Here is a 27,299-nt window from a genome sequence, read left to right on the forward strand (position 1 = left end):
TTGAGGTATTGAAAGAACTTAGAACAATGTTAACTTACAGTCATTGCTCAGTGGGCATTAAGCAAGACATAGATTATACAGATATGCTTCTAAATACATGCAGATTTTCAAGTAAGTGTCTGTTGCTGATTTTTAAAATGAGTAAGTAGTTGAATCTGCAAGCTATTTTTTGATTATTTTAATTTCATCCAGTTAAGAAACACCTGAGAAATAGAAAGCAGTGGTGAATTTCAGAAGTATGTTTACAAGACAATAAAAGAAGCAATTCATATCTTCACATCTGAAGTAAAAAAAATGAACAAAAGTCAGAAACATGGAGGATAGCTGAATTATTGATATTAAAATGACAGCTTGAGAAAACTGTCATTTAAATGGCTGGGGCCCTCTGTCAGGTTTAAGAAACCTCCAACGAATATGAAGAGCTGTGCAAAATGTTCTCACTATAGTAAGATTATTGCAGCCAGATACCATAATAAGGCAGTTGCAAAGAGCTGACCAAAAGGATTACATTTTTGCTTGCAGTGAGGCACTGAGGTCAAGAAAGACATTTGAAAGGACTTGTAAATTGCAGATTAGGCTAAAACCTCTTATCAGGTTTTCTCTGATGAATCCTTTGCTATCAGCTTTTAAGTACTACCGTGTTTAGAGTCTCTGTTAAAAAAAATATATAATGTAGCTACTGATTGCCATAGAAAATGTTGAGAAAAATGCATAGCAATCATTGACTCTAGCTTTACCATTGTGAGAAATGGACTTTCAATATAAAGTGATGTGATCCCTATATACAGTTGACTCTTGAACAACTTGAGAGTTAGGGGCACCATCCCCCACCTCCCACCTACGCAGCAGAAAATTTGCATGTAACTTTTGACTCTCAGAAACGTAACTACTAATAGCCTACTCTTGACCAGAAGCCTTAATGATAATATGAACAGTCAATAAATGCATATTTTGTATGTTATATGCATTACCTACTGGATTCTTCCAATAAAGTAATAATTATTCCCAAGAAAATATTGTTTAAAAATATAATGAAGAGAAAAGATATTTACTATTCATTAAGTGGAAGTGGGTCATCATAAAGGTCTCCATCCTCATCATCTTCACGCTGAGTGGGCTGATGAGGAGGAAGTAGAGGCGTCGATTTTGCTGTCTAAAGGGCAGAGTATTAGTTCATTCTTGCATTGTAATAAAGAACTACCTAAGACTGGGTAATTATAAAGAAAAGAGGGTTAATTGGATCACAGTTCTGCAGGCTGTACAGGAAGCATGACTGGGGAGGCCTCAGGAAACTTGCAATTGTGGTGGAAGGTGAAGAGGAAGAAGGCATGTCTTACATGGCCAGAGAAGGAGGAAGAGTGAGAAAGGGGAGGTGTTACACGCTTTTAAACAACCGTGTCTCCTGAGAACTCCCTCACTATCATAAGAACAGCAAGGGGGAAATCCACCCTCATGATCCAGTGACTTCCCAATAGGCCTGTCATCCAACACTGGGAATTACAATTCAACATGAGATTTGGGTGGGGACACAAATCCAAACCATATCAGGTGGCAAAGGCAGAAGAGGTTGTAGGCGTGGGGTGGAAAGGGAGACAGGAGAGATTTATTGAAAAAAATGTATGTATCAATGGACCAGTGCAGGTCAAACTTGTGTTGTTCAAGCATCAAATGTAAAGAAAGACTTACTCAAGTCATGGGCTAGTATGGGTTAAGGAATTACTTAAGACCAGACTTCCTCCAATCATAACACCCTCTTTTATATGACGGTTGAGTAAGAGCCATGCTGCCTTCAAAAGTGAATATGTAGTAAGTGGAAGATGAAGATGAGAAAACTACAAGGGAAAAGGATGAAGGGGGAGGGTTGTGATGAGGAGGGGAGACTACTTTACTGAGCAGAGGAGTGCTCCTTCTTCAAGACCTCTTCTATCATTACATTTACTTACTTCTATCTAACACATCTGTAGAATTCTTTTTGTCATTGTCGTTGTTGTTTCTTAGGAAAGGGTCTCGATCTGTCATCCAGGCTGGAGTGCACATCATAGCTCACTGCAGCCTTGATCTTTTGAGCTCAAGCCATCCTCCTGCCTTGGCCTTCTAAGTAGCTAGGACTACAGGTGCGCCACCATGCCTGGCTAGTTTTTTGTATTTTTGGTAAAGGGTCTCCCTATGTTGCCCAGGCTGGTCTTGAACTCCTGGCTTCAAGCAATCTGCCTACGATCTTGGCCTCCCAAAGTGCTGGGATTATAGGCGTGAGCCACTGCACCTGGTCTTACATATAATTCTTGTTTTATTTTCATGAAGGAACCGAACTCGCACAATAACAGAGGCAGTAGGAAGATAGATGCTCACGGTATTTCTAAAATAGACATGGTAGCTTGCACATATTTACCCACAGAGCTGTGAAGAATTACCACAAATTTGCTGGCTTACGACAACACAAATCTATTACCTTACAGTTTTGAAGGTCAGAAATACAAAATAGACCTTACTGGGCTTAAAAACAAGGTATCAGCAAGGCTGCATTCATTTTTGGAGGCTCTAGGAGGAAGCGTTTTCTGGCTTTTTCCAGTTTCTAGAGCCTCACTGCCCTCTTAGCCTCACGGCAGTGACCAGTCGAGTCTTCTTCACATTGTGGCACTGTGACAAAGACACACCAGCTACCCTCTCTCATCTTTAAGACTCTTAGTATTATATTAGCTGCACCGGCATAAACCAGGATAATCTCCTTATTTTAAGATCAACTGATATAGCAATCTCAGTTTCACCTGCTACCTGAATTCCCCTCACCATGTAAAGTAGCATAACCACAGTTCTGGAAAATCAGTACAGGGACACCTTTGGGGTCCATTATCCTGCACACCACCCTCCCCGTACATCGCCAGCATTATTGGCAGATTCATAGCCAACTACATTTTCTACTTTCAGGCACTTTTACTCTTGGCACACTTCTGTATGGCATTGAACATTTCTCTTGATATTGACTGGGGTAAAGGGGCAATGGTACCTCAAAGATGAATGATCAGTGAAGAAAAGCTGATCCAAGAGAGGCCTCATGAGTTAAATATTAATGATGAACTTGTCCACTTAAATGTGGTAGTTGCCTAAAAAGAAAACAAAAAAATACTTTGACTGTATCTACTTGTTACAGGAAATTAGAATATTTTAATAAAAGAATCTTATTCATGGCACATGTCTCATTTAAATTATTCTCCAAAATATTTTATCTAAGTTTCAATGAATACTAATGATATTATTTATTAAAATATTAACACTCTGGATAGTCTTAATATTCTAGCAATTATCACATTATCCAGAGTGTTGACTATAGTAATATCAAATTAGTTTTAGATAGATACAATCTTTTTTATAGTTTAATATTTAGTTATTGCACACGTTTTTTGCATTACACTGAACCTTTGTTTACCTTAAATTTATGCCTATTTTAAAAAGACTTGTGATCCTGGGAAAACCATTCATATGGAAATCAGAGTAAATGGATCCCATTTCTCACTCTACCAGGATGTAGCTCTAAATCAAGTCACATAATCATAGAGACGTCAGTTTACTAAATCACAAATGAAGTCACTGGATTTGAATTCTATGAATTTTTAGAATTATGACCATGAGATGTTCATAAGCCAATTTCAGTGAAAATATTAAGGAAAACTATCATTATCGCTAGTGCACAGAGCCAAAACCATACAATCATTACCACAAAAGCCTCTAAAGGCTATTATCGAGTCACTATTTACAATTGCTTAACCCAGAAACTTGTATTTCGATCCTCGGAATAAACATTGGTAATTGCTGATTTAGAATATGGTTGTAATATTTGAAATGACTAAATAAGTAAATATACCCCACCTTTGTTCTTGTGACATTATTATTCCCTTTTATTTGTTTCCATATTCCATTGTTATTATTCTACCTGTCCCTGAATCATGTCTGTTCCACCTTTTCTGATTTTAGTAGTGATAGAACCTCCTCCCAGCCTGGATTTTGTTTGTATAATTAGTCACTGATATGGTTCGTCTGTGTCCCCACCCAAAATTTCATCTTGAATTGTAATATCCCCGTAATCCCTATGTGCCAAGGGAGAGACCAGGGGGAGGTAATTGAATCATGGGCGCAGTTTCCCCCATGCCGTTCTTGTGATAATGAGGGAGTTCTCACAAGATCTGACGGTTTTATAAGCGTTTGGTAGTTCCTCCTGCATTCACACTCCGTTCTGCTGCCTTGTAAAGATGGTGCCTTGCTTCCCCTTCACCTCCTGCCATGATTGTAAGTTTTCTGAAGCCTCCCTAGCTATGGTAAACTGTGAGCCGATTAAACCTCTTTCCTTTAAAAACTACCCAGTCTTGGGCAATTCTTTAGAGCAGTGTGAGAATAAACTAATACAGTCACCCAGCTAAAGACACAGCTTCCTTTTGCCCAGAAATGTGGATATTCCGAGGCAGTACTCTACTTGCAAGTTAACAAGTTAGTCTGGATGAATGCTAGAAAAACAAACAAAAACACATGAGACTCTTTTGTCAGAGAAAAACGCACTTTATCACTCACACAGATAGCAGTATCAAGATGTATTAATTATCTAAAACTGCCATAAGAAAGTACCACAGACTGAATGGCTTAAACACTGGACATTTGTTTTCTCACAGTCCCAGAGGCAGTAAGTCTGAGATCAAGGTGTCAGCAGGATTGGTTTCTTCTGAGGACTTTCTCCTTGGCTGGTGGACAACTGTCTTCTCCCTGTGTCTTCACATGGCCATCCCTCTCTGCATGACTGTGTCTTTCTCCTCTTCTTGTAAGGGCACCAGTCATGTTGGAGTAGGGTCCACCCTAGTGAACTGATTTTAACTTAATTACCTCTTTAAAAATCCTATCTCCAAACATAGTAGTGGGTGGAAGTTAGGATGTTGACATATGGAATTTAGGGGAACACAATTCAGTCTATAATGCTAGAGTATAAGCATTTTCTTGCTCCAATTCTCCAAGGCCCATTTGCCACAAGAAGAAACGAGGAGAAACAAATAATACCTGTTGACAAAGTGGGCTGAGTTACAGGGAAATAACCCTTAGCTTAGGGAGAGCAGACTTTTCTAGAGGGCAGTGAGCACAATTGCCCTTTGTTCTGGTGGGAGACACTATCTCTGCCTTCTTTTGAGGCTGTTCATTAAACAAACACACTTAAAATTTAGCCCTGAAAAAAAGAAGACAGTCAGTGGCATACACTGCTTGCAAGACGTGCATAAAGTTGAGAGAGCCGAGGAGAATTACCTCCCAACAAGATGCAACTCTTATTTCTAGACTTTCTTGGCTTCTGCCTAATGTTTTGATTAGTATAGCACTCCACTGGCTTGACAGAAGCTGAGACCAAATCTCTTAAATTTCTCTCATTTGGAATTTTCTTAAGCTACTATCAACAAGTGCCAGGTTACAAATGCCTGGAAAGCTGGAAGCATGCCGAATGTTTAGTTGCAAAGGGCTGGAATGCTGGTGTCAGTTGATAATCTGAAATAGCAATACCATAACCTAAAAAAAGTACCAATAGCTCCATGGCATTCTTGATAAATAGAAAAGAACTTGAAATGTCTGGTGTTTGTTAGCAGCAGCAACTTCTTTCCACCCTTTGCAAGTGTAAATAGAGGTGTCTTTAACCATTTTTGCCTGGGGTTGCAAGTTTTTGAATTTTTGCAATCAGACCTTGGCAATGACCTTGAGCAGTAGGATATGAATAACTCTCACATACTTAGCGTTCCAATAATGGAACACTAGGCATAAATTTAATCTGTCTGCTTGTGATTTTCTAAGTGATAGATCAAACTGCTAGGCCATTGACTACAGTCTCATTTTACAGAATAAGTAAAAATATGACAAAACTAATCCAGGAGAATATTGGCTGGAACCATGAGAATGTCCTTGAATGATGCCCACTGAGGAAATTGACCATGTTGATATTTGGTTGTACATAGATGGCACTGAGATGAACAGCACCACGAACCAGTGGGCACCACTGGGTTTCAGCTCAGCAAACTACCAGCGAAACAGACCCAGGCATTTAAGAGAAAGCCTGTGAACTGAGGGCCAACTGAGCCAGCTGCTCACTTTTTCATGCCAGGCCAAGTTGCCATGGGGAGGCCTAGCTGCATTTTTAAAAAGACCGTTTCCATTTGATAAGTGAATCTTATTGAATCCTTTGTCTCTTGTTAATTATTGAGTCTGATTGTACCCACCCCACAGCCAGAACATCAGGTTAGAGAGTCACAAGACCTCCATGGATCAGGAATTTGCTTCTGAGAAGGAAAGTAAAAGTGATTTTCAAAATCAATGTGACAAGTGACTGTGTCATGGAGGTGAGGCATCAGAAACCCAAAGACATCTTTGGGTGCTACTAAAACTTCTATCCAAATGGCTCTTTCTGACAAGAACCAGCACTTGCAGTATTGGAAGTATACACATAGAGCAAATCAATTCCTACTACACTGTCAAGGTTGTAGGCCATTGAAAAGGACATCAAATCAAATCAACCCTGCTCATGGGCCCTACCTAAAAGGTTACATTAGCTTTCCTTCCCCATTAATAGTGATTTGGTCACCTGTATCAACAAAGCCATAAAATCTGAATTTCCTCACGTCTCCCAAGTTTCCCAGCATGCTTGGATAGATGTGAACGGCTTTTAGTCCCCAGTGGGGACTGGGACACCTCAGCCAAAGTTTTAGTCATCTTTCTGTTTAAAGCCAGAGAGGAAGGGGGAAGGATCAGGGCAAAGAGGAAAGAAAGGCCCTGTAAACAGACTGTTGTGGTGCAGCTTGTGGCCCAGCCACGTGAACTTACAGACTTTTCAGCCAGGTCTTCATGGCCGACACCATGCCAGATGACACATTCATCCGGAGTGGATGGCATTGCAGTAGAGGAGCCCTGCACTTAGGGAGCCTTGGAGATCCCTGAATTCAGCAGCCACAGTTGTACTACTTTCTGGCTGGGGCCATGGAGTTTGCACCCTTTGGTTGAATCAAACCTAACTTATTCAGATGCAACTCATTTTCTAAGGAGTGTTTTCACACTGCTATAAAGTACTACCTGAGACTGGGTAATTTATAAAAAAAAAAAAAAGAGGTTTAACTGACTGCACAGCTGGGCAGGCCTCAGGAAAAGTACAATCATTGCAGAAGGTGAAGGGAAAACAAGACACGTCTTACATGGGGGCAGGAGAGAGAGTATATGGGAAAACCACCACACACTTTCAAATCATCAGACCTCATGAGAACTCCCTCATTATCATAAGAACGGCACAGGGGAAACTGCTGCCATGATCCAGTCACCTCTCACCAGGTCCCTCCCCTAACACGTGGGGATTACTCTTCAACATGAGATTTGGGTGGGGATGCAAATCCAAACACTATCAGCATCCCAATCCAATGGCTGCCATTTGCTGCCCATTTCCATAAGGCTTGAGCTTTTGCCCAATTTTAACATGAGGACTAAAAGAGCTTTCCAGGATAGTGGGGTAGATGCAAGAGTGTATCAGGACTTTCCTGGTCAGTTCCTCATTGTCCTAAAGGCCACCTTCATCAACACTATAGTTGAATAGAGGTCAGTAAGAGGCCCCAAACTGCCCAGAGCTGAATCTATGAGTTTCCATGATACAAGTATGTTTTCTTGGAGGATTCTCCACAAGAGAATCAAAGCTTCCTTAATGTAGTCAGGAACCACTGAAAAAATAAATCTCTGAGAACTTTAATGCCATCCCTAAATGAATCAAAGTTGGACAGGAAGACTACAGGAGCTATTGAACCATAAAACGGCAAAGCTGTTGCTGTTCTTTCTTTTTAAAAAATTTTCCCCTTTTTAATTGACAAATAATAGTTGTACATGTTCATGGAACACATGGGTTTTTTGGTTGTTTTGTTTTTGTTTTTGTTTTTGTTTAGACACAATTCCTCTCTGTCACCTAGGCTGGATACACTGGAGTGATCTCGGCTCATTGCAACCTCCGCCTCCCACGTTCAAGGGATTCTCTCACCTCAGCCTCCCAAGTAGCTGTGACTACAGGCACATGACATCATGCTCGGTTAATTTTTGTATGTTTTTGTAGAGACAGGATTTCACTATGTTGCCCAGGCTGGTCTCAAACTTCTGAGCTCAAGCGATCTACCTACCTTGACCTCTCAAAGCACTGGGATTACAGGTGTGAGCCACTGCACTCGCAGCAGTGATGTTTTTATGCATATAATGTATATGTTCCGGGAACTTAGCATATCCATCATCTCAAGCATTTATTATTTCTCTGTGTTAGGAAAGTTCAATATCCTCCTTATAGCTATTTGAAAATATATTACGTATTATTGCTAACTATAGTCATCCTGCAGTAGTGTAGAACATGAGAACTTATTTCTTCTTTCTTTTTTTTTCTTTTTTGAGACACAGTCTCGCTCTATCACCAGGCTGGAGTTCAGTGGCACGATCTCGGCTCCCTGCAGCCTCTGCCTCCTGGGTTCAAGCGATTCTCTTGCCTCAGCCTCTGGAGTAGCTGCGACTCTAGGCATGTGCCACCACGCCCGGCTAATTTCTTGTATTTTAGTAGAAACAGGCTTTCACCATGTTGATCAGGATGGTCTTGATCTCCTGACCTCATGATCCACTTGCCTTGGCCTCCCAAAGTTCTGGGATTACAGGTGTGAGCCACCGCTCCTGGCATCTTCTTTCTTTAAAACTATTACTTTCCCCAGACTGTCATCCTCCAATCAAAACAGCCAAAATACTGATTTTCCTAGTTTCAGCCAAGTGCTGTCATGAATTTCTCTCATGTTATGCTGAGTTAGCATGCATCTCTATAACTCTTATCTGAAAGGAATTGGAATGTCCTGGTCACTCAGGACAGATTTCAGTACTAGGCAGTGTGATGCACTGAACCTGTGTCTGGTTGCTGGATGAACCAGGAAATCCTCCCACCAGAGGAGTGGTAACCACAGCCAGATCATTTGGGCAGTGGTCTTTAAATCTCCTTTGCGCTTGCTCAAACTTTAGCTATCTCCCCAACTTCTCCTCACTATCAGTCAATAAAGTGAAGGGCCATTACTACCAGGTAGACTTTAGCCAACATGTTTCCTACTGATTCTCACGGACTTCCTACAAGTCCCTTTAATCAGCTGACAATGCCCTCATCTTTTATTTTCCACTATGCTTATCATTATCCCATCAGTATTGCCAAAGTTGTCAAGAACTCTTATATAGGGCTGAGATTTTACCCTGCTTTCAAATTGACAAGTTAGCCTTTCTTAGTGTCACTGATGCTGGCAGAAGATAGGAGATTTCTGGAGAAAAAGGGCTTTGTTGCTTAAGCAATAACAGTATCCACAGCATAAGCATTTTATTGTGACAATTCCCCGTGCTCTAATCCCCACAGAGTGGTGTGGAGACGGCCAGATGACACATTCATCAGGAGTGGATGGCATTGCAGTAAAGCATCCCTGCGCTTAGGGAGCCAAGAGGCAAGCGAGTGGGAGTTCCTGTTCCCAGCTCTCACTTTGGAGGGAGACATTCTCATTGTCTTTCAAGGCTATTGGTTAGACAAAAATCCTTGAAAAACGAATCCAAAACAAAGGGAACACTGTGCCTTACCCACAAGATGTGCACAAATGTGACAGCCCCATGAGTGTGAGAGCCCCAGGCCTGCTTTGTTGCTAGGTGTCAGAGTGTGGTTAAATTTTGACTGATAGTCTAAAATAAGTGAAGTGTGGACACAGGTTGCTTCCAAATCTTAGCTACTGTAAACAGAGCTGCAACAAACATAGGAGTGCAGATATCTCTTTCATATACTGATTTCCTTTCTTTTGGGTATATACCCAGCAGTGGGATTACTGGATCGTGTGGTAGCTCTATTTTTAGTTTTTTTCGGGAACCTCCAAATTGTTCTCTATAGTAGCTGTATTAATTTACATTCCCATCCACAGTGTATGAAGGTTCCCTTTTCTCCACCTCCTTGCCAGTATTTCATTCTCTATGATGTGCTTATTTCACTTTACATGCCTGTATCAAAACATCTCATTTTCCCCATAAATATACACCTACTATGTACCCAGAAAAATAAAAAAATAAAATAAGTGATGTGTCCAATATCATTTTAGGGCCTTAAAAATATGAATGTTCTTGCCTTCCATGTTCTCCTTTATCTCTGTCCAGTGTGAAATGATGAGCTAGCCTGTGGACAACTGGGGTGGTGTTTCAGTTACAGAAACAGAAACCACATGGAAGGAACACCAGAGCTTCCCTGCCAGGAAGCGTTCCTGCAGGACATGTTGACACAGAGCCCTCCCTTCCTCCCTCCCTTCCTCCTTCCCTCCCTTTCTAGAGCCTTATGGGGGAGAAGAAGCAGCAACTGCATTTTGTGGTCTGTGTGTTTTAGCAGCTTGGTCTCAAGCCTATCTGTTACAAGCATAATACTACTTCAGGATATAACATCCATAGGTTACAGTGGAAGATATTCATTTTAAAGTAATATGTCCTAGGCCGCTTAAACTAACACTTGATTGCATTGTTATGGAATTTCAGACTTCTTAAGCATTATTGCATCAAAGAACCAATGATGTATATTCCATTTGATTTATTTCAAAAACAACTGAAATATATAAGATAAAGAAACAGAAGCAGAATGTGCTTACAAAACATATGTCTTAAAATCAGAAATGTCCAATTTTCTTATGGAAGTAACAGAAGGTAAAAGTGTTTATGTGTCAGATACTATGTTAAATATTCATATTATTTAAGGTTTGGGGCAATAGTCAAACCAAGATTGACTCATAGTAACAAAGTGTCAACATGCTGTTAACAGGCAAATAAATTTGAAATGTGTGATGGTAGCTTAAAAACATTAAATCTAGAGAGATTAGATAATCCAGAAAGAAGTGTGATAATTAAAAACTTCAGAAACAGGAAACGATGTGAAATAAATTACAGAGAGATATTTAGGTTCATATGAGGAAGAATTTAGTAATTAGAAGGTAAGCTGCCTAAAGAAATAAGCCAGGAGAAATACAGAGAACATTATAGAAAAGTAGACATCCATTCCATTTTAATAGTTGTGGAAGGCAGGGGATGCTTTATATTCTAAGGAAGTGGTTGTCAGGGGGCATTCCCCCAACTGCAGCGTCAGCATGAGTGGGGCAGTTGGAAGAAACCGAGATTCTCAGGCCTCACCTCTGACCTACCTCAGCAGAATGTCTGGGATGGAGAGAAGGGACTGGAATCTGGGATGCATCAGGCCCTTTGGTGATTCTGACGTGGACTGAGGTTTGAGAAGTAGTCTAAGGCACTTCCTGTGAAATGTGAAAGGAAATAAGCAGCATTTATTTCTTTTGTCTCGTAAATTATGTGGCATGCTTGTCACTCCTTTGGTTAACTTGTCTGAAGGTGTTTTGCAAAGTTAAGAAAAGAACACATATTATCATGATTGTCACATTCGAAAACGCTAATACCATCTGAACCCTAATTTTGTAGCAATATAGAAAACTAAGTTGTACATTTATCCTGTATATTCTCAAAAAGTTGACTTTTAAATTATGGTATGTTCCCCATGTGGAAAATGTAAGCTTTAAATAAATTAATAAATAATAAATTATTAACCTGGATTTTGGATTAATGATTCCTATGCGTGTATATGATTTTTGTAAACATGCTCAGTAGCTGATGGATTGGCACCACTTGGCTTTCTTGTCTAATGTATGTTTTCACGTACCTAATTGCTCAGAAAACTATAAAGAAATCAATCCTTTTTTTCCATTTAAATTCACAGCTGGTGATTCTAAACTTGACCTTTTTAATGACTCATAAATTTCATATATTTGATTGTGTTATATTTATTGCAACCATTTGGCTTCCACTTTTGTCCTAGCAAATTAATTTTTCAGACGTTAATCTCGAACACAGTTGCTAGCAAGATTCTTTTCTTGGTTCAGTAGTTTGCTAGCACAAAATATTAACAGTAAGCCTAGGGAATTCTTCTTAACCCAAAACAAAACAAACAAAAAAATAGTGGTCTGGGAAAACAGACTGTTATGCTATGATAGTTGCTATGGATACTAAGCTACTTCGCAGATTTGAGCTGTGTGTATGAGCATAAAATATTAGCCATTTGATTAACTTGTGATTTTATTCAGAAATGCTATAATTCACATCTTTTGTATGTTCTACAATATATTAACGTATTTTAATTCACAGATAAGACAACTTTGAGAAGAAAACTCTCCCTCTCTGATTTCTAACTTCATTGAAAGAATGATTAGAACTACATCAAGAATAAATATTTAAAACTTTAAATAAGAAATCACATTTACGAAAACTTGCATATCCAATGAGGTTTTTTTTTACTATTTTGAAGTAACAAGTAAAGAAGAACATTAAAGAAATTTTACAACATACCTTAGCAAAAGAGTTTAGATAAAAATGTTATAAGGATTGTGAATAAGAACATTATCAGTAGAATTTTTGATAAGCCACAATTATATCTTAAATGAGGCTCACCTTATTTAATTGTTTTCAGTCATGTTGCTAGTAAAATATTTGCAGTGATCATTTTTCAATTTCAGGCAATGTAATTCCTTTTATCCTTCATTTATTAAAAATGCAATCTTATGTGCAGAGTTATATTTAACAATAATAGAATATTGTAAGTTTCAACTATCTTAACTGTCTATATTGACATGTACCTTGCAGCACTATTTTCTGTCATTTCTGAGATTTCCCTGTCTTATATTAAAAACATCTCATTTATTTGATAAAGTAGTGTCACCTAGTAGATTTTACTCTTTAAAAACAGATTCATAACAAACTTAACTATTCTCCCCTGCCTCCAACTCCATCCTAACAGTAGATTACAGATACATCTGTTCAACTAAATACTTCTTGTGCTTCTTCCTCACCTAATCAGTTCCGCTACTGCCTTCATAGTGTTCAAGTTTTTAAAATTTTCCTTTAGCTTCTAAGTCTTTCACTCATTTTACATTTTAGGTCAAAACACATTATTCATCTATTTTAGCAAATTATAATTGTCTTGGTCATTTTGGTGCTTAAAGAATTACTAAATAAAGAAAACGTTGTTTTTCCATTACTACTTTTTTACTTATTAACTTAGGCTTTAAGTATATATTTAAATATACATATGTTTTAATGATAAAAAACAGAATCTTTGCAGATGGGTCTCAGAACCTCAGATTGATAAATAATTAGCTTGGAAGAAAAATAAATTATTTACACCATTCATCTTTTTTTAGTGCTAAATAATTTTATACATTACAAATATATTAAATGGATATTTTAAAATAAGCTTTTCTCTATTTTGATATATTTAGTGGCTTATGGTAACATAAGAAAGCAGTGCATTGAGTCTAATATAAAATGTAAATGATTCAATAATTTTTAAAGTTAAATTGAAGTCCTGTTTCAAGTATAAAGAAAAAAATGTTTGGGCAAATTATTAATTATTTTTCTATAAACCTCAAAGAAATTTCTATTCTTCAGACCTACCATCTACCTAAAATATGTTCCCTCACCATCAAGAATTTGTGCAAACTTCATACACTTCCAAATCTTCTGTAGCTGAGACGAGTGAATGACATTTTATTCCCATACCAAAGAGTGTAATTAAATTATATAATATCCAAACCAGTTGATCTGGGGAGTTAACAAGGGCTTTGGTGTTTGTATGCACGTGTGTGTGTGTGTGTGTGTGAGAGAGAGATTATTAAAAAGTCATTTAATTTTACTATTAGGTACTTATATTTTGCCAACAGGTAAAATGTTCAAGGTAACAGAAAAGACATGTTGCCACTCAGCTTTCACAAATGCCCACTTTCCCATGCATAGAATTCCAAATATGTTTTCCCCTACCTGAGATACTGTCATCCCTTCCCACAAAGCACCAGTACACAATGAGCCAGATGCCTGAAATAAAAGCCATACCCTCTATCATATCCAACAACCTGATGATTTTATCCACAACATGGTCAATATGCAATACTAAGATAGAACTTCATAATCATGACAAAAGTTTTATTTTGAAAAGCCAACAGGAAAATAGCAAACAGGGCTCAGGGATCCACTGTACATTGTGCTACTGCCCAATTAGTCTGTCGTTGGTGAATCTGTCCCTGTTCTGCTCCCAAGAGACTTTTCCTTGCTCTTCATTCTTTTTGGTCACTATATTTGCCTGCTGAGAATTGTGTAGTTATCAAAGGTGAAGGCTCTGGAATTAGAAGAACTAAGTATGATTTGTATAAACTACTTATAACCTTGTTGGGACTGGCTGGAGAAGGATTCTGTCTCTGCCACTTCTTCTATGTGTGTAAAGCTGGGCACAGCCGTTCTATCCGACTTCTTTTTCCTTTAGCATTGAAAAAATAACTTCACAATAAGCTCTTAAATGCAAATCAAAACCACAGTGAGATACCATCTCACACCAGTCAGGATGGCCATTATTAAAAAGTAAAAAAATAGCAGATGCCGGTAGGGTTGCGGAGAAAAGGGAACACTTGTACACTGTTGATGGAAGTGTAAATTATTTCAACCATTGTGGAAAGCAGCCAGGCAATTCCTCAAAGAGCTAAAAACAGAACTGCCATTTGACCCAGCAATCTTCTTACCGGGTATATACCCAAAGAAAGATACATCATTCTGCCTTAAAGACGCAACCACACATACGTTCATTGTAGCACTATTCACAATAGCAAAAACATGGAATCAGTCTAAATGCCCATCAACCGTAGACTGTATCAAGAAAATGTGGTACATATACACCATGGAATACTACACAGCGATAAAAAGAATGAGGTCAGGCCGGGTGTGGTGGCTCATGCCTGTAATCCCAGAACTTTGGGAGGCTGAGGCAGGAGTTCAAGACCAGCCTGGCCAACATGGTGAAACCCTGTCTCTACTATAAATACAAAAATTAGCTGGGCGTGGTGGCGGGCACCTGCAGTTCCACCTACTTGGGAGGCTGAGGCACGAGAATTGCTTGAACTCGGGAGGAGGAGGTTGCACAGCCAAGATCGCACCACTGCACTCCATCCTGGGTGATGGAGTGAGACTCTCAAAGCAAAAACAAAAACGAAAAAGCAATGAGATCATATTCTTTGCAGGAAGATGGATGGAGCTGAAGGCCATCATCCTTAGCAAACTAACCCGGGAACAAAAAAACAAATACCGCATGTTCTCACTTATAGGTGGGAGTTAAATTATGAAAACACATGGACACAAAGAGGGGAACAATAGACACTTGGGCCTACCTGAGGGTGGAGAAGGGAGAGGATCAGAAAAAAATAACTGTTCGGTACTAGGCTTAGTACCTGGGTGATGAAATAATCTGGACAACAAACTCCCATGACTTGAGGTTACCTATATAACAAGCCTGCACAAGTACCCCTGAACCTAAAATAAAAGTTAAAAAAAAATCTCTTAGGAGAGTGCCTAAGACAAAATAAGTGAATGTTTTTGTTCTTGATGTTATTATATGTTTCCACTATTGCCATTTATGACATTATCTGCAAAGGTCATTGTGGTGGACACTTTAACAATCAACTTCTTGATATGCTTGTTATCCTTGATATTACTGTATGGATCTGCTAGTTTTACCTTCTTAGGCAATGCAACTTTAAAATATCATTGAGGGCCTCTGATTCTGGTAATGAAAGACTAACTAATTTCTAAGGATTGTCCTAGTAAAGTTGACTCGAAAATGTAAAGTAAATATTTTCTAACTTCCTCTTGGAGGGATTAGAGATATTATAACATGACAAAGAATTATGGGGCTAAGATCCAAGGTAAGAAAACCCAGAGAGGTAAGCCTGACACTTGGAGTCACTTTTTCAACACTTGTCAACCCATCCTTGAAGAAAAAACTGAAAGCCCAAGATTATAAATAGCAATTTTGACAGCTGCATGGGGCTCATGGGACCAAAATGAGAACACCCTCTCTGCAGACAAAAAGTAGAGGCTTCTTAGCCTTCCGATTACTGTTATGACTCTTTTTTTTGTTTGTTTTGTTTTGGTTTTGTTTGTTTTTTGAGTTGGAGTCTCATTCTGTCACCCAGGCTGGAGTGCAGTGGCACAGTCTCAGCTCACTGCAACCTCCGTCCCCCAAGTTCAAGCAATTCTCCTGCCTCAGCCTCCCGAGTAGCTGGGACTATAGGCATGCGTCACCATGACCAGCTAATTATTTTGTATTTTTATTAGAGACGGGGTTTCACCATGTTGGCCAGGCTGGTCTTGAACTCCTGACCTCAGGTGATCCACCCATCTAGGCCTTCCAGAGTGCCTGGATTACAGGCATGAGCCACTGCACCTGGCCTGTTATGACTCTTGAGTGCTTACAGGATTACAAGTGTTCTAGCAGTAGTCCAGTCTATGCCAGCACTGGGGCCTAGATTTCAACTATCTTAACCCTTGACATTTGATTAAATTTGAGTTAACCAACCATCAGAAGCAAAACTAAAGAAACTTGGAGCAATTTTTTCAATCCTAAAATAATTACTAAGTTTTTTTGAAGTTTGTAAGTTGATAAAAAATAAGACACAAACTAGACAAAAAGTATGACTAACAATAAAGAAAAACAATATACATGGAATAGACTCTAGAAGAGCCCCAGATTGGAGAAATTACCAAACACAAACCTTAAAATTCTAAGCTTAATAATTTTACAATAAATAAATTTTACAAAAAATGAAAATGAATTCATTTACTAGTATTGATTGAGGAAGCGGTATAAAATTTGTAGAGAAGGTAACTGGATAGTTGAGTAAAAATATGGTAAAATATTGTAAAAATATTGTAAAAATATTGGAAATAATATAAAATATTGTCAATAAATATTGTAAAAATACTGTAAAATATTGTAAAAATAAATTTATAATGTTACTGGGGTTTTTGCTAGAGAACACAGAGACATAAAAGAAAACTAAATGGGAGGACTAGAATGATATAATACCTGTAATTAAAGACTCAGTGATTGAACACAAAAAAAGACCTGAAAAGAAAATTAGTAAATTGAAGGATAGAGTGACCATAAGTTGGAAAAATGGAAAAGACTGTATAAGCAAGTAGAAGTGTTTTAGACAGAATGTATATATCTCCCCAAAATTCATGTATTGAAATCCTAATACCCAGTGAGACTATATTTGGAGACAGAGCCTGTAACAAGTTTAACCTTAGTCAAGGTTAAATGAGGTCCTAGAGGTGGGGCCCTGACCCAATAGGGTCAATGTCCTTATAAGAAGAAACACCAGTGAGTCTGTAACTGGGTATCCCACATAAATACTAGCAGTGTGTAATTATAATTGCCAACTTACTTCCCAGCTGAGATAGAATGATTCTCAGGGCTGTTCTATCTAAATCCTCTGGTGAGTCAGTTTCATATTTCGTTATCTGTTTCTTGATATTTCCCACTTTTGAGAGTAATCCTGTACCAACTTTTCTTACGAATTATGAAAAGTATGATTCATACTTTTACATTATGAAAAGTACGTATGATTATTTTTCTTACGAATAATGAAGCATCTAACTCAAAATAGCTTGAAGAATAAAGAAGAAGAATTTCTTGAGTCATGTGACTAAAAAGACCATAAATAATCATTTGGGCTTCAAGCAGTATTGACTCTAATCCAATTTTACTTCTCTGCTTATCTCTCAGCTCACCCTCTTTGTGTAATGGTTTTGTATAAAAGCCTTACTTTGACTTTCCTTAGGCATTAGGTTGAAAAGTAACTACTCTCATAATAAACAGGAATGAAGGAGCCACTAAACCATTACAAATATCCAGTGCTTTAGTCCATCCCTGAATTAATTATTGTGGAAAATAGAATCTACAAATTGGCCTAAGGCTGTAATTTGTGTCAATCCTTTAACCAAATATAAAGACATAGGACCAGAATCATACAAATTGACTCAGATCTGCGCTGTCCAATATGATAACCATAGCTATATGTGGTTATTAGACATTTGAAATGTAGCTACTGTGCTGGAGAAATTAATTTTTAAAATGTATTTAAGTTTAGTTAAATTTAAATGGAAAAATATTTCATTCAGTTATTAGGAAAACTTTAAATATGTTTGGAACAATTTTCAAATGGAGAATCTATGTTTCAGGTGTACATTTTATAAAATTTAAATACAATTCAAGGATCTCCAATAAAAATGTAACCTTTTAATTGAAATATACAAATATATCCATATATCTATGTTTATTTATAAAATATACACCGAGTCTTAAAGACTTAATTCTAAAATGTAATATATATCATCATTAATTTTATATTGGTTTCACGTTGAAATGTTAACATATTGAATATATGTGGTTAAATAAAATATGTCATTAAATCAATTTTGTCTTTTAAAAAAAATTTTAAAGCCTGCTAAAATATTTATAATTGCATATAAAGATTATAGCATATTACTATTTGTCAGCACCAATTTAGGTCATTTAGTGCTCACTTCTGAACAATGGATTGGGGATGGAATGGATATTAGAGAGACAACCAGAAGTTACATTGCCTGAAGGTCACTAGGAAATATCGGTTTATTTAACTTTATTCATAATTGACTATGCTGATGGTCTTTATCCACAGGAGGGGAGCTGGAACACTTCGGGTGGGCATTTGTATTGTCATCACCCTGCCCATTCCCACTGGCGCTACATATTCTTAGCTGTTACCATCTCCCACTTGAAGTACCGTCATAATTTTCTAAATGTTTCAACAATTTCCATATTCTGTCTATCTTCAAACACTAGCTTACTTCAAATCATACTATAGGCCACTGCTAGACACAACTAACCAGTTACCTTCTTTGTAAACTTCACACCACTCCCTCAATCAATACTAGTGAATGAATTCATCTCTGTACTTTTGAGAGTTATGTATTCATATAGTCTTCTATCATACTGCTTGTCTTAATTGCTTTATTTATTTGTTTGCATGTAAAACTTCACTAGGTAGATCATGAGTGCTAGAGGATGAGGTTCAATTCTTTTCCTCTTTTAATTTAAAGTTTCCCACACATGTTTTGGCATACGTTAAGAATTTGCAGGCTGGGAGCAGTGGCTCACGCCTGTAATCCCAGCACTTTGGGAGGCCGAGGCGGGCAGATCACGAGGTCAGGAGATCGAGACCATCCTGGCTAACACGGTGAAACCCCATCTCTACTGAAAATACAAAAAATTAGCCAGGCGCGGTGGTGGGCGCCTGTAGTCCCAGCTACTCGGGAGGCTGAGGCAGGAGAATGGCGTGAACCCGGGAGGCGGAGCTTGCAGTGAGCGGAGATCGCACCACCGCACTCCAGCCTGGGCGACAGAGCGAGACTCGGTCTCAAAAATAAAAAAAGAATTTGCAAATAAATTAATTAAGCAATCTATTTATTTACAAAAGGATAAACAAAAGAGTAAATCTTCAAGTTCTAACAAAGCACGCCATGGGGAGTTGAATCGTTGCAATTAATTTAATTTTCCAAGTTCAAAAACTTTGTTAGAAAACTCTGGTTCAGACAAGATGACGTGCTCAGCCATCCCTACTCCTCCCTGATTAGTACAATTATAAACAGTGGAAATAATACAAGAGGCAACCAAATAAGAACTCTGAAAGGTAGAAACAAGAAGGACTGTAGCAACAACACGGCTTATGACCTGCCACTGAACAGCAGAAGACAACCGAGGCCGACCATCTCTGGAACGCAACCTAGCAACGGAAGTTATCCCAGCTAGGTTCATTCCTCCCCCGTAGCACAGAAATCTGTCTAAGAATACCAGGCAAGCCCACTGCCACCAGGAAGGCAAATGCACAGGAAGCTCTATTAATAGTAAGTGGCCTTAGGAGGTACTCCTCTGCCCCACCCAGAAGGGGGGCAGCCAGAGGCACCTGCAAGAAAGACGAAGTCACCGTGACTCCACTTGGGAAGGTCTCTTTGACCCATGGGCCAGAGGACTCCCTTCCTCACCTAGAGACAACACATAGCTTGGCATCACAGACAAGAGAGTCTTGCCACTAAAATCACCGGGGACAGAAACAGAGAAGCTCCCCATCTACTGAAACTCCCCTCATTCCTATGGGGATACCTGGTGACCAGAAGGTACTAATGAGGAGCGTCCCACTCAAATAAGTAAATGCTTACCCCTAAAACCTTCTTTGATTCCACCGGGCAGAGCTCCTGATCTCACTTGTAAACACCAGGCATTGGGGGTTACCAATAAGGAGCAACAAGAGGCTGCCAGCGGAAGAGCAAGAATCTCAACACGGAAAGTGCCAGATGCCACAAGGGAACTTTGTCTCCAGGGGCAGAGACCCCTTACCCCACTGAGAGGCACCCCTGCTCTCTCCTGGGGAAGCTCCTTCTGCTCCTTCACATGGCACCAGCAGAGATCATTAGACAAACCAAGCAGACCAAAATAGCACCACAAAAGCTGTTAAAATTAAATTGTCATTGAAAACACAATTTTCTCAAGATTTAAATAGAACCCAGCATCTCATAATATAATAGACAAACAACAAAAATGCACACACTAAAATACTAAGAACCAGAAAAATCACATCTTAAATAAGGAAAGACAAGCAATTGATGACAGCACCAAGAAACATCAGCTATTGGAATTATCTGACAAGGCTTTTGAAGAAGCGATTATAAAAATTCTTCAAAAACCAATAACAATATATTGAAACAAAGGAAGAAATAGAAAATATCAGAAAAGAACTAGAAGTTATACAGGAGAACAAGATGGAAAGCATATACCTGAAAATTACAATAATTATACAACATGACTTAATGGGATTTATTCCAGGAATGCAAGTTTCAACCTTCAAAAATTAATTGATGTTATATACCATGTCAACACACTAAGGAAGAAAAATTATATGATTATAGTAATTATTGCAGAAAAATCGGAACCAATTAATTATGTATGTCTCACGAAGTAAGGACTAAAAAAGAAAGTCTCAAATTGGTTAAAAAACTATTATCTACAAAGAATCTATATCTTATATCATACATAATGATGAAAGCCTAATGTTTACATACTTGTATCAGAAATAAGGCAAGGGTAAACACACGCATCACTGATATTTAAAATAGTACTGGAAGTTCTAGCCACATTGCAAAACGAGAAAAATAATAATACACATATTGGTTTGACAAGAAGTTATAATATTGTCCCTATTTGTAGATGACATGATTGTCTATGTAAGAAATACTAAGGCAGAAATCAACCAAAACAAACCAAGATTTAATTAAAAAAAAATTTCTCGAATATGTGAGTTAAACAAGGTTGGAGGACACAAGACCAATACACAAAAATTAATAGCTTTTGTTAGGAACTAATTTGCCCTCGAATAGCCAAATTGATCTTGAAAAAAATAAAATGAATGGAACCACTGTACCTGATGTTAAAGTTTACTATACAGATATAGCAACAACACAGTGTGTTATTATGTGTTGTTGTTGTTAGAGAACCCCAAGATAGACCCACACAATATGCCCAGCTGATTTTGACAAAGATGCAAAACCAATTTAAAATGGGAAGGATGGTCTTTTAAACAAAAGATACTAAGGTAATTGAATAGATACAGGCAAAAAAGCTAAAACAAAAACAAAAACAAAATTTCAACTTAAATCTCAAGCACCTTATATGAAAATTAACTCAAAATAGATCATGTGCTTAATCATGAAACATAAAACTAGAAAATTTTTGCAAAAAAGAGAAAGTTTTCAGAATTGAAGTTAGGGAAAGATATTTATACTTGATACCAAAATCATAATTTATAAAGCCAAAAAAAAAAAGATAAATTGGACCTCATGAAAATGAAATGCTTTTGCTCTGTGAAAGACCTTGAGAGAAGATGAAAAGACAAGCTACAGGTTGGGCAAAAACTATGAAAACCATGTATCTGATAAAGGGGTAGTAGCCTGAACATGTAAAGTACTCTAAAAGCTCCATGCAAAACAACAACACACCATAGTGTAACTGGACTGTTTGTAACACAAAGGATAAATGCTTTGGGTGATGGATACCCCATTTACCCTGATGTGATTTTTACACATTGCATGCCTGTACCAAAATATCCCATATACCCCATAAACATATATACCTATTATGTACACATAAAAATTAAAAATTAAAAAAAGGTAGAGATATGAACAGCTATAGGCAGAACTCAGAGACATCGTGGCTATAGCTCCAGATCCTCACAATAAAGTGAATATCACAATGAAGTGAGTCACAATTTTTTTGGTTTCCCAGTGTATATAAAAGTTATATTTATGCTAAACTGTGGTTAGCGAATGAGCAAGAACAGCTGTCTAAAACGCGATTACTTAAAAATATATTATTGCTAAAAAATGTTGACAGAGACATGAAGTGAGCAGAAACAGTTGGAAAAATGGGACCAATAAACTAGCTTGGCACAGGGTTGCCACAAACTTCAATTTGTAAAAACCACATTATCTGCAAACCACAAGAAAGTGAGGTGCAATCAAACAAGGCATGACTGTATTTCACCAAAGATGCAAATCACAAATAAACACATGAAAATATGTTCAACATCATTAACCATTAGGAAAATACAAATTAATACTATAATGAGATATTACTATGTACCTATCAGAATGACTAAAAAATAAACAAATGAATAAACCACCACCACCAAATGCTGGTTTGGATGAAGAAAAGCTGGACAACTTACACATTGCTGGTGGAATGTAAAATGATGTAGCACTATAGAAAACAATTTGAGTTTCTTATAAAAATAAACATGCAGTTACCATAGGACCCTGTAATTGCACTCTCACATTTAACCCTGAGAAATAAACACTTCTGCTGACACAAACACCTGTACATGGACATTCATAATAGTTTTATTCATAATATTCCCAAACTGGAAACAACCTGGATGGCATTCAAAGGGGGAATGGTTAAACAAGCTGCGGTACATCTGTACCATGGAATACTACCAGCAAGAAATGAAATGCACTATTGCTAACTCATACAACTATTGATAATTCAACAGCTTGGATGTGTCTCAAGGCAATTATCCTGAGTGAGGAACAAAAAGGCAATCCCAAAAGATTACATGCTGTGCAATTCCATCTACAGGACATCGGTGAGATGACAAAATTATAATAATGCAGAACAGATGACTGTTTGCCAGAGTTTAGGATGGTTTAGGGAGACTGGTGTGATTGTGAAAGCACCACATGATGGATTCTTTTGGGGATGGATTTCTTATATCTATTTACAGTGTCAATAGATTCATGAATCTACCCATGTTAGAATTGCATAGAACTAAACAGACGCACATATAATTCCATAAAAATTTTAAAAAGTACATATAAATGTGGGTAAATACAAAAAAGATGAGCAAATTGTACCATGCCAATTATGTTTTTGTGATATAGTACTACAGCAAGATGTTACCATTGGTGGAGACGGGTTAAAGGGTAAATGAAACCTTGCTGTATTATTTCTTACAGTTGCCTGTGAATCTGTAATTATCTCACAACACTTTAAAAAGATTATTTAAAATTATTAGTAGAATTCCACATCCAACTTAATACAAAACAATAACTTTAGGAGAGTATTCCATGAATAGGGAACTCAGAGGATAGAAATAAAGGGTAGGGGGAAAGGACTCTTCTAGGCATAGAAATGGTTTCCCAGGAGTCCATGCCACACTGCACAGTTAAACATTCATAAATGCTTAAAGATAAAATGCCTGTGTATGGAAATTAGTCACAAGAGGGACTTAATAGCACAAATGTCTTAATTTGACAGATGAAATAAAGCTTGTCTATGTAATGAAATGCCAAGTCAACTAAAAAAATGCTGTGAACTATCAAGATGCATAATATTAACACATTACCATAATTTGAAGGACAAATTTTATGGTATCAGTTATTCAGTAAAAGAATGTTATTGCATAGCATTATCTTAAAAACAACTACTCAATATGACAGTGAGGAAACAATTTTGATCATGATTAAGGAGGACTATAATAGGCAAATTAGAAAATACTTAAGGTATGTGCAAAATTATGATCTAGATAAACCTGTATCTACACAAGTGACATCAGAAAATGACACAGCAGCTTTATAAAATGAATAAATGCCAAACCTATGTAAGAGACTGCTAACATAAAACAGACTAAGAAAATATAGAATTTTTCAGACTTTTTAAGATAATTTTGATCAATATTTAAAACAATAAAGGAAGTGGTGACTGTTGTTTTCTTTAACAAATCACAGGAAGTTAACCTTGAAACATGAATTTACTAATTTAAAAAAAGTAAAATAAAAACTCAAATTTATATATCAGATATTAAACTTCATAGAATATTACTCTAAGCCGCATAATTTAAAATCCTAATAGCTTCAAATAAAATTAGGATAAATTTATTATGAGGGATTGATATGTTTGTGGTGGATTCTGACATGCTTTAGCTTACATTTCTCTTTTTTATGTGAGTAATATTTGGGAACAGAGCTATGACATATACCACAGTTCAGTACTCTCTCTCAGAGAGAAGATACTGACCTGGTGATATATAGTTTCTTGATTTATTCCAATTACTTCTATTCTTTATATTACAAACAGAAAAATGGAATTTCATAAGACTTCATGGGAGTATTTAAAAGGAACGCAATTTTCTTTTAAAAGGAAGATGGATTATTTCAGATTTATGTCCAACACTTTAAATTTTTAACTTTAGAAAATAAAGAATTCCTAGTATTAAATTTCTATTGAACTTGAACATTAACTCTTTAGAAAACATTAGCAACATATTTAGATATTTGTTGCTTCATTTTATTTAAAACAATCTCCAGACAATTTATAGTTGACCTTTAAAAGAAAGCATTTATAAAATGAAACAAGTTTGACAAGGTAAAAATAATAGAACAAATTCCAAACCCATTTCAAAAACTAACATGTAATTTGTTGCTAATATAAAATTAAAGAAGACAATATTTTAGGATTCCTATTTTAAATTGTACCTCATTAATAAAATCCTGAAAAATAAAATAGGTACAGTGAACTTTTCCGTTTCTTGCTTGCCCTTGATTTAATTAAACAGACTATTTGAAGTGATGAAGTTTGATTTTTGACCTGTGCCATGGAAAGTCTGCATTGTAAACAAAGTTCAATTTGTAATGAGGTTATAAGCAAAATATAAAGCAATCGAAAATATTTCTTCTGTTTTCTTAAGATAGTAGTCACATTCAAAGATAACCATAATACTTGACAAGGAAAAAATATAAATATAATATACAAGATCTCTCCAGTACTATTAAAAGGATAAGAGCCAATTTTTTTTTTTTTTTGCTATTTCAGAGAGCCTTTGTCTAACTTTCACAAAAGAAACAGAAAAAAAATGCCAAAAATTAGATATATCTTCCGAAGTTGAATGCACAATATTGAGGCTTTACCACTTCACCAGAGCGGATAATTAAAGAATTGCATTAATTATAAGTTGACAAAGCACAGGCAAACCTAATGAATTATTATTACATTTTACAAATGTAGGAAAAATACATTTGGTAAAAATTATTTTCTAGAACAGCAGTAATACTTTGGAATTGTTTTCAAATCCTGTGGTACTTATAAATCTTAATAATGCATGTCATATTATCCCACAGAAAGTTGTACAAAAGTGTCTTTTTAGGAAATTATAAAGCTATGATATGGAAGGATTTCTTTATATGAGTAAACTACTAAGAAATAGAATTTTTGAACGTGTTCTTAAAGTTGTTTTTGTATCATTGATTTTTCAGCTTATATGTAGCTAGCATTATTCAAGGCATTCAACCACAAGTGAAGACTCAAAATGCTTATTCCCTAATCTCTGCAGCACTCTTAAGTCCTTGGCCATTTCAGCATAGCAAATGCCTATCATTGAAAGATTCTTGAAATGGTTTGGCTTTGAAACATTTCTTTTCCAGGATTTAACAACAAATTGGCAGGGACATAATAGCATCACTGGAATTGAGTCTGCCCTGTGATGAGAAATTTGCAGCATCTTCATCTTCATCCCTGCAGTCTCAATTTTTCCTAAAGTATTAATAAATTTGATCGTGCCACTGCACTCCAGCCTGGGCAACAGGGCGAGACTCCGTCTCCAAAAAAAAAAAAAAAATTATATATATATATATATATATATATATATATATTCAATTCAGCATTTCTTCAAATGTTAAGGAAAACAAACTCTAGGTAACATGATAATCCTAAATTCTATCTAAATGCCCTTCATTTCCCATATTGCTAAAAACATTAGAATGCAATAAATATTTTAAAAATTAGCACTCTAGGAGGTAGAATTCTCACAAATAAGGTCATATAAGGAATCTTAATCTTGTTAGATATAGGAATGAGGAGATGTGGGGTTTCTACATTCTTAGAGTCCAGCACAAATGATCCCGTCTTGACACTGCATCCCTGCACCTAGTGACTGCCTGAAAGAACATGGAGTTATTCTGCCTCCCTTTGCTGTAAATGAAGATCTTTGGGTTACTTCAGTAGCAAACAGAGAATGGGCAAAACGCAATTTACATAGTTACACAAAACCTGAATTCTAATTTTATGAATATTCCAGCCTCGGTAAACAGTGGAAAAAGTAACTTGGCCTTCACCGAAATCTTATAAAACAACCAAAAAAAGACAAACCCAAAAACAATCAAATTTAATTTCTGCAAACTGTTCTAACGGATTCAAAATAAAAATATGAAACTGACATCACAGTAGGATATTATGATCAGAAAATCGTAAGGTGAGAAAAATATGAGACCACTTCTCCCAGAAAGAAGAATGAGAGAGGAAGGGAAGGAGCAGAGGGAAGTAAACCAGATGAAGTAAAATGGGCTCCATGGAAACTGAGAATACAAAGGCAGACATTAAAATCACGTTGGAAACATTAAAGAATTTATGTAATACTGAAGAAAATCGCATTGATGAAGCCCTCATAAAATGTAGAGAAAGCAAATGACAAAGTATAGATGGCTGGCATTTCTTAGAGACCAGAACGAATAAGCATATAGATGGCAAGCTGGCTGGATGGGTGGACAGATGGGTGAAGGGATGGATGATAGACATGAATGATAGATATATGGATATATATGCATAAGTGTATATTATGCATGAATGTATGAGTACAATAGATACGATGTGGATTATAGATGCATTTTGTTTTTATATTTATTTGTTAATATCATTAATATTTATAATACTAAAAACGTTCTAAGGTATAAAAATTTTTTTTCACCAGATTCTGGAACAAGTAATA

At 36.9% G+C, this 27,299-nt stretch overlaps 1 long non-coding RNA gene across 2 annotated transcripts in view; it reads right to left on the reverse strand.

Annotated features, from left to right (window-relative positions):
* Window positions 1-27,299, reverse strand: part of LOC105372190 (uncharacterized) — a 312,925-nt gene that overhangs the window by 19,041 nt on the left and 266,585 nt on the right. For both annotated transcript variants that reach the window (XR_007066468.1, XR_007066469.1), the window contains exons 5-6: window positions 11,208-11,315; window positions 3,005-3,101 (exon numbers count right to left, since the gene is read on the reverse strand). This is a non-coding gene — a long non-coding RNA (uncharacterized LOC105372190). The remainder of the gene's footprint in view (window positions 1-3,004; window positions 3,102-11,207; window positions 11,316-27,299) is intronic.

Source organism: Homo sapiens, chromosome 18, assembly GCF_000001405.40.
Source record: "Homo sapiens chromosome 18, GRCh38.p14 Primary Assembly".
In the NCBI taxonomy this organism is placed as follows: Eukaryota; Metazoa; Chordata; class Mammalia; order Primates; family Hominidae; genus Homo; species Homo sapiens.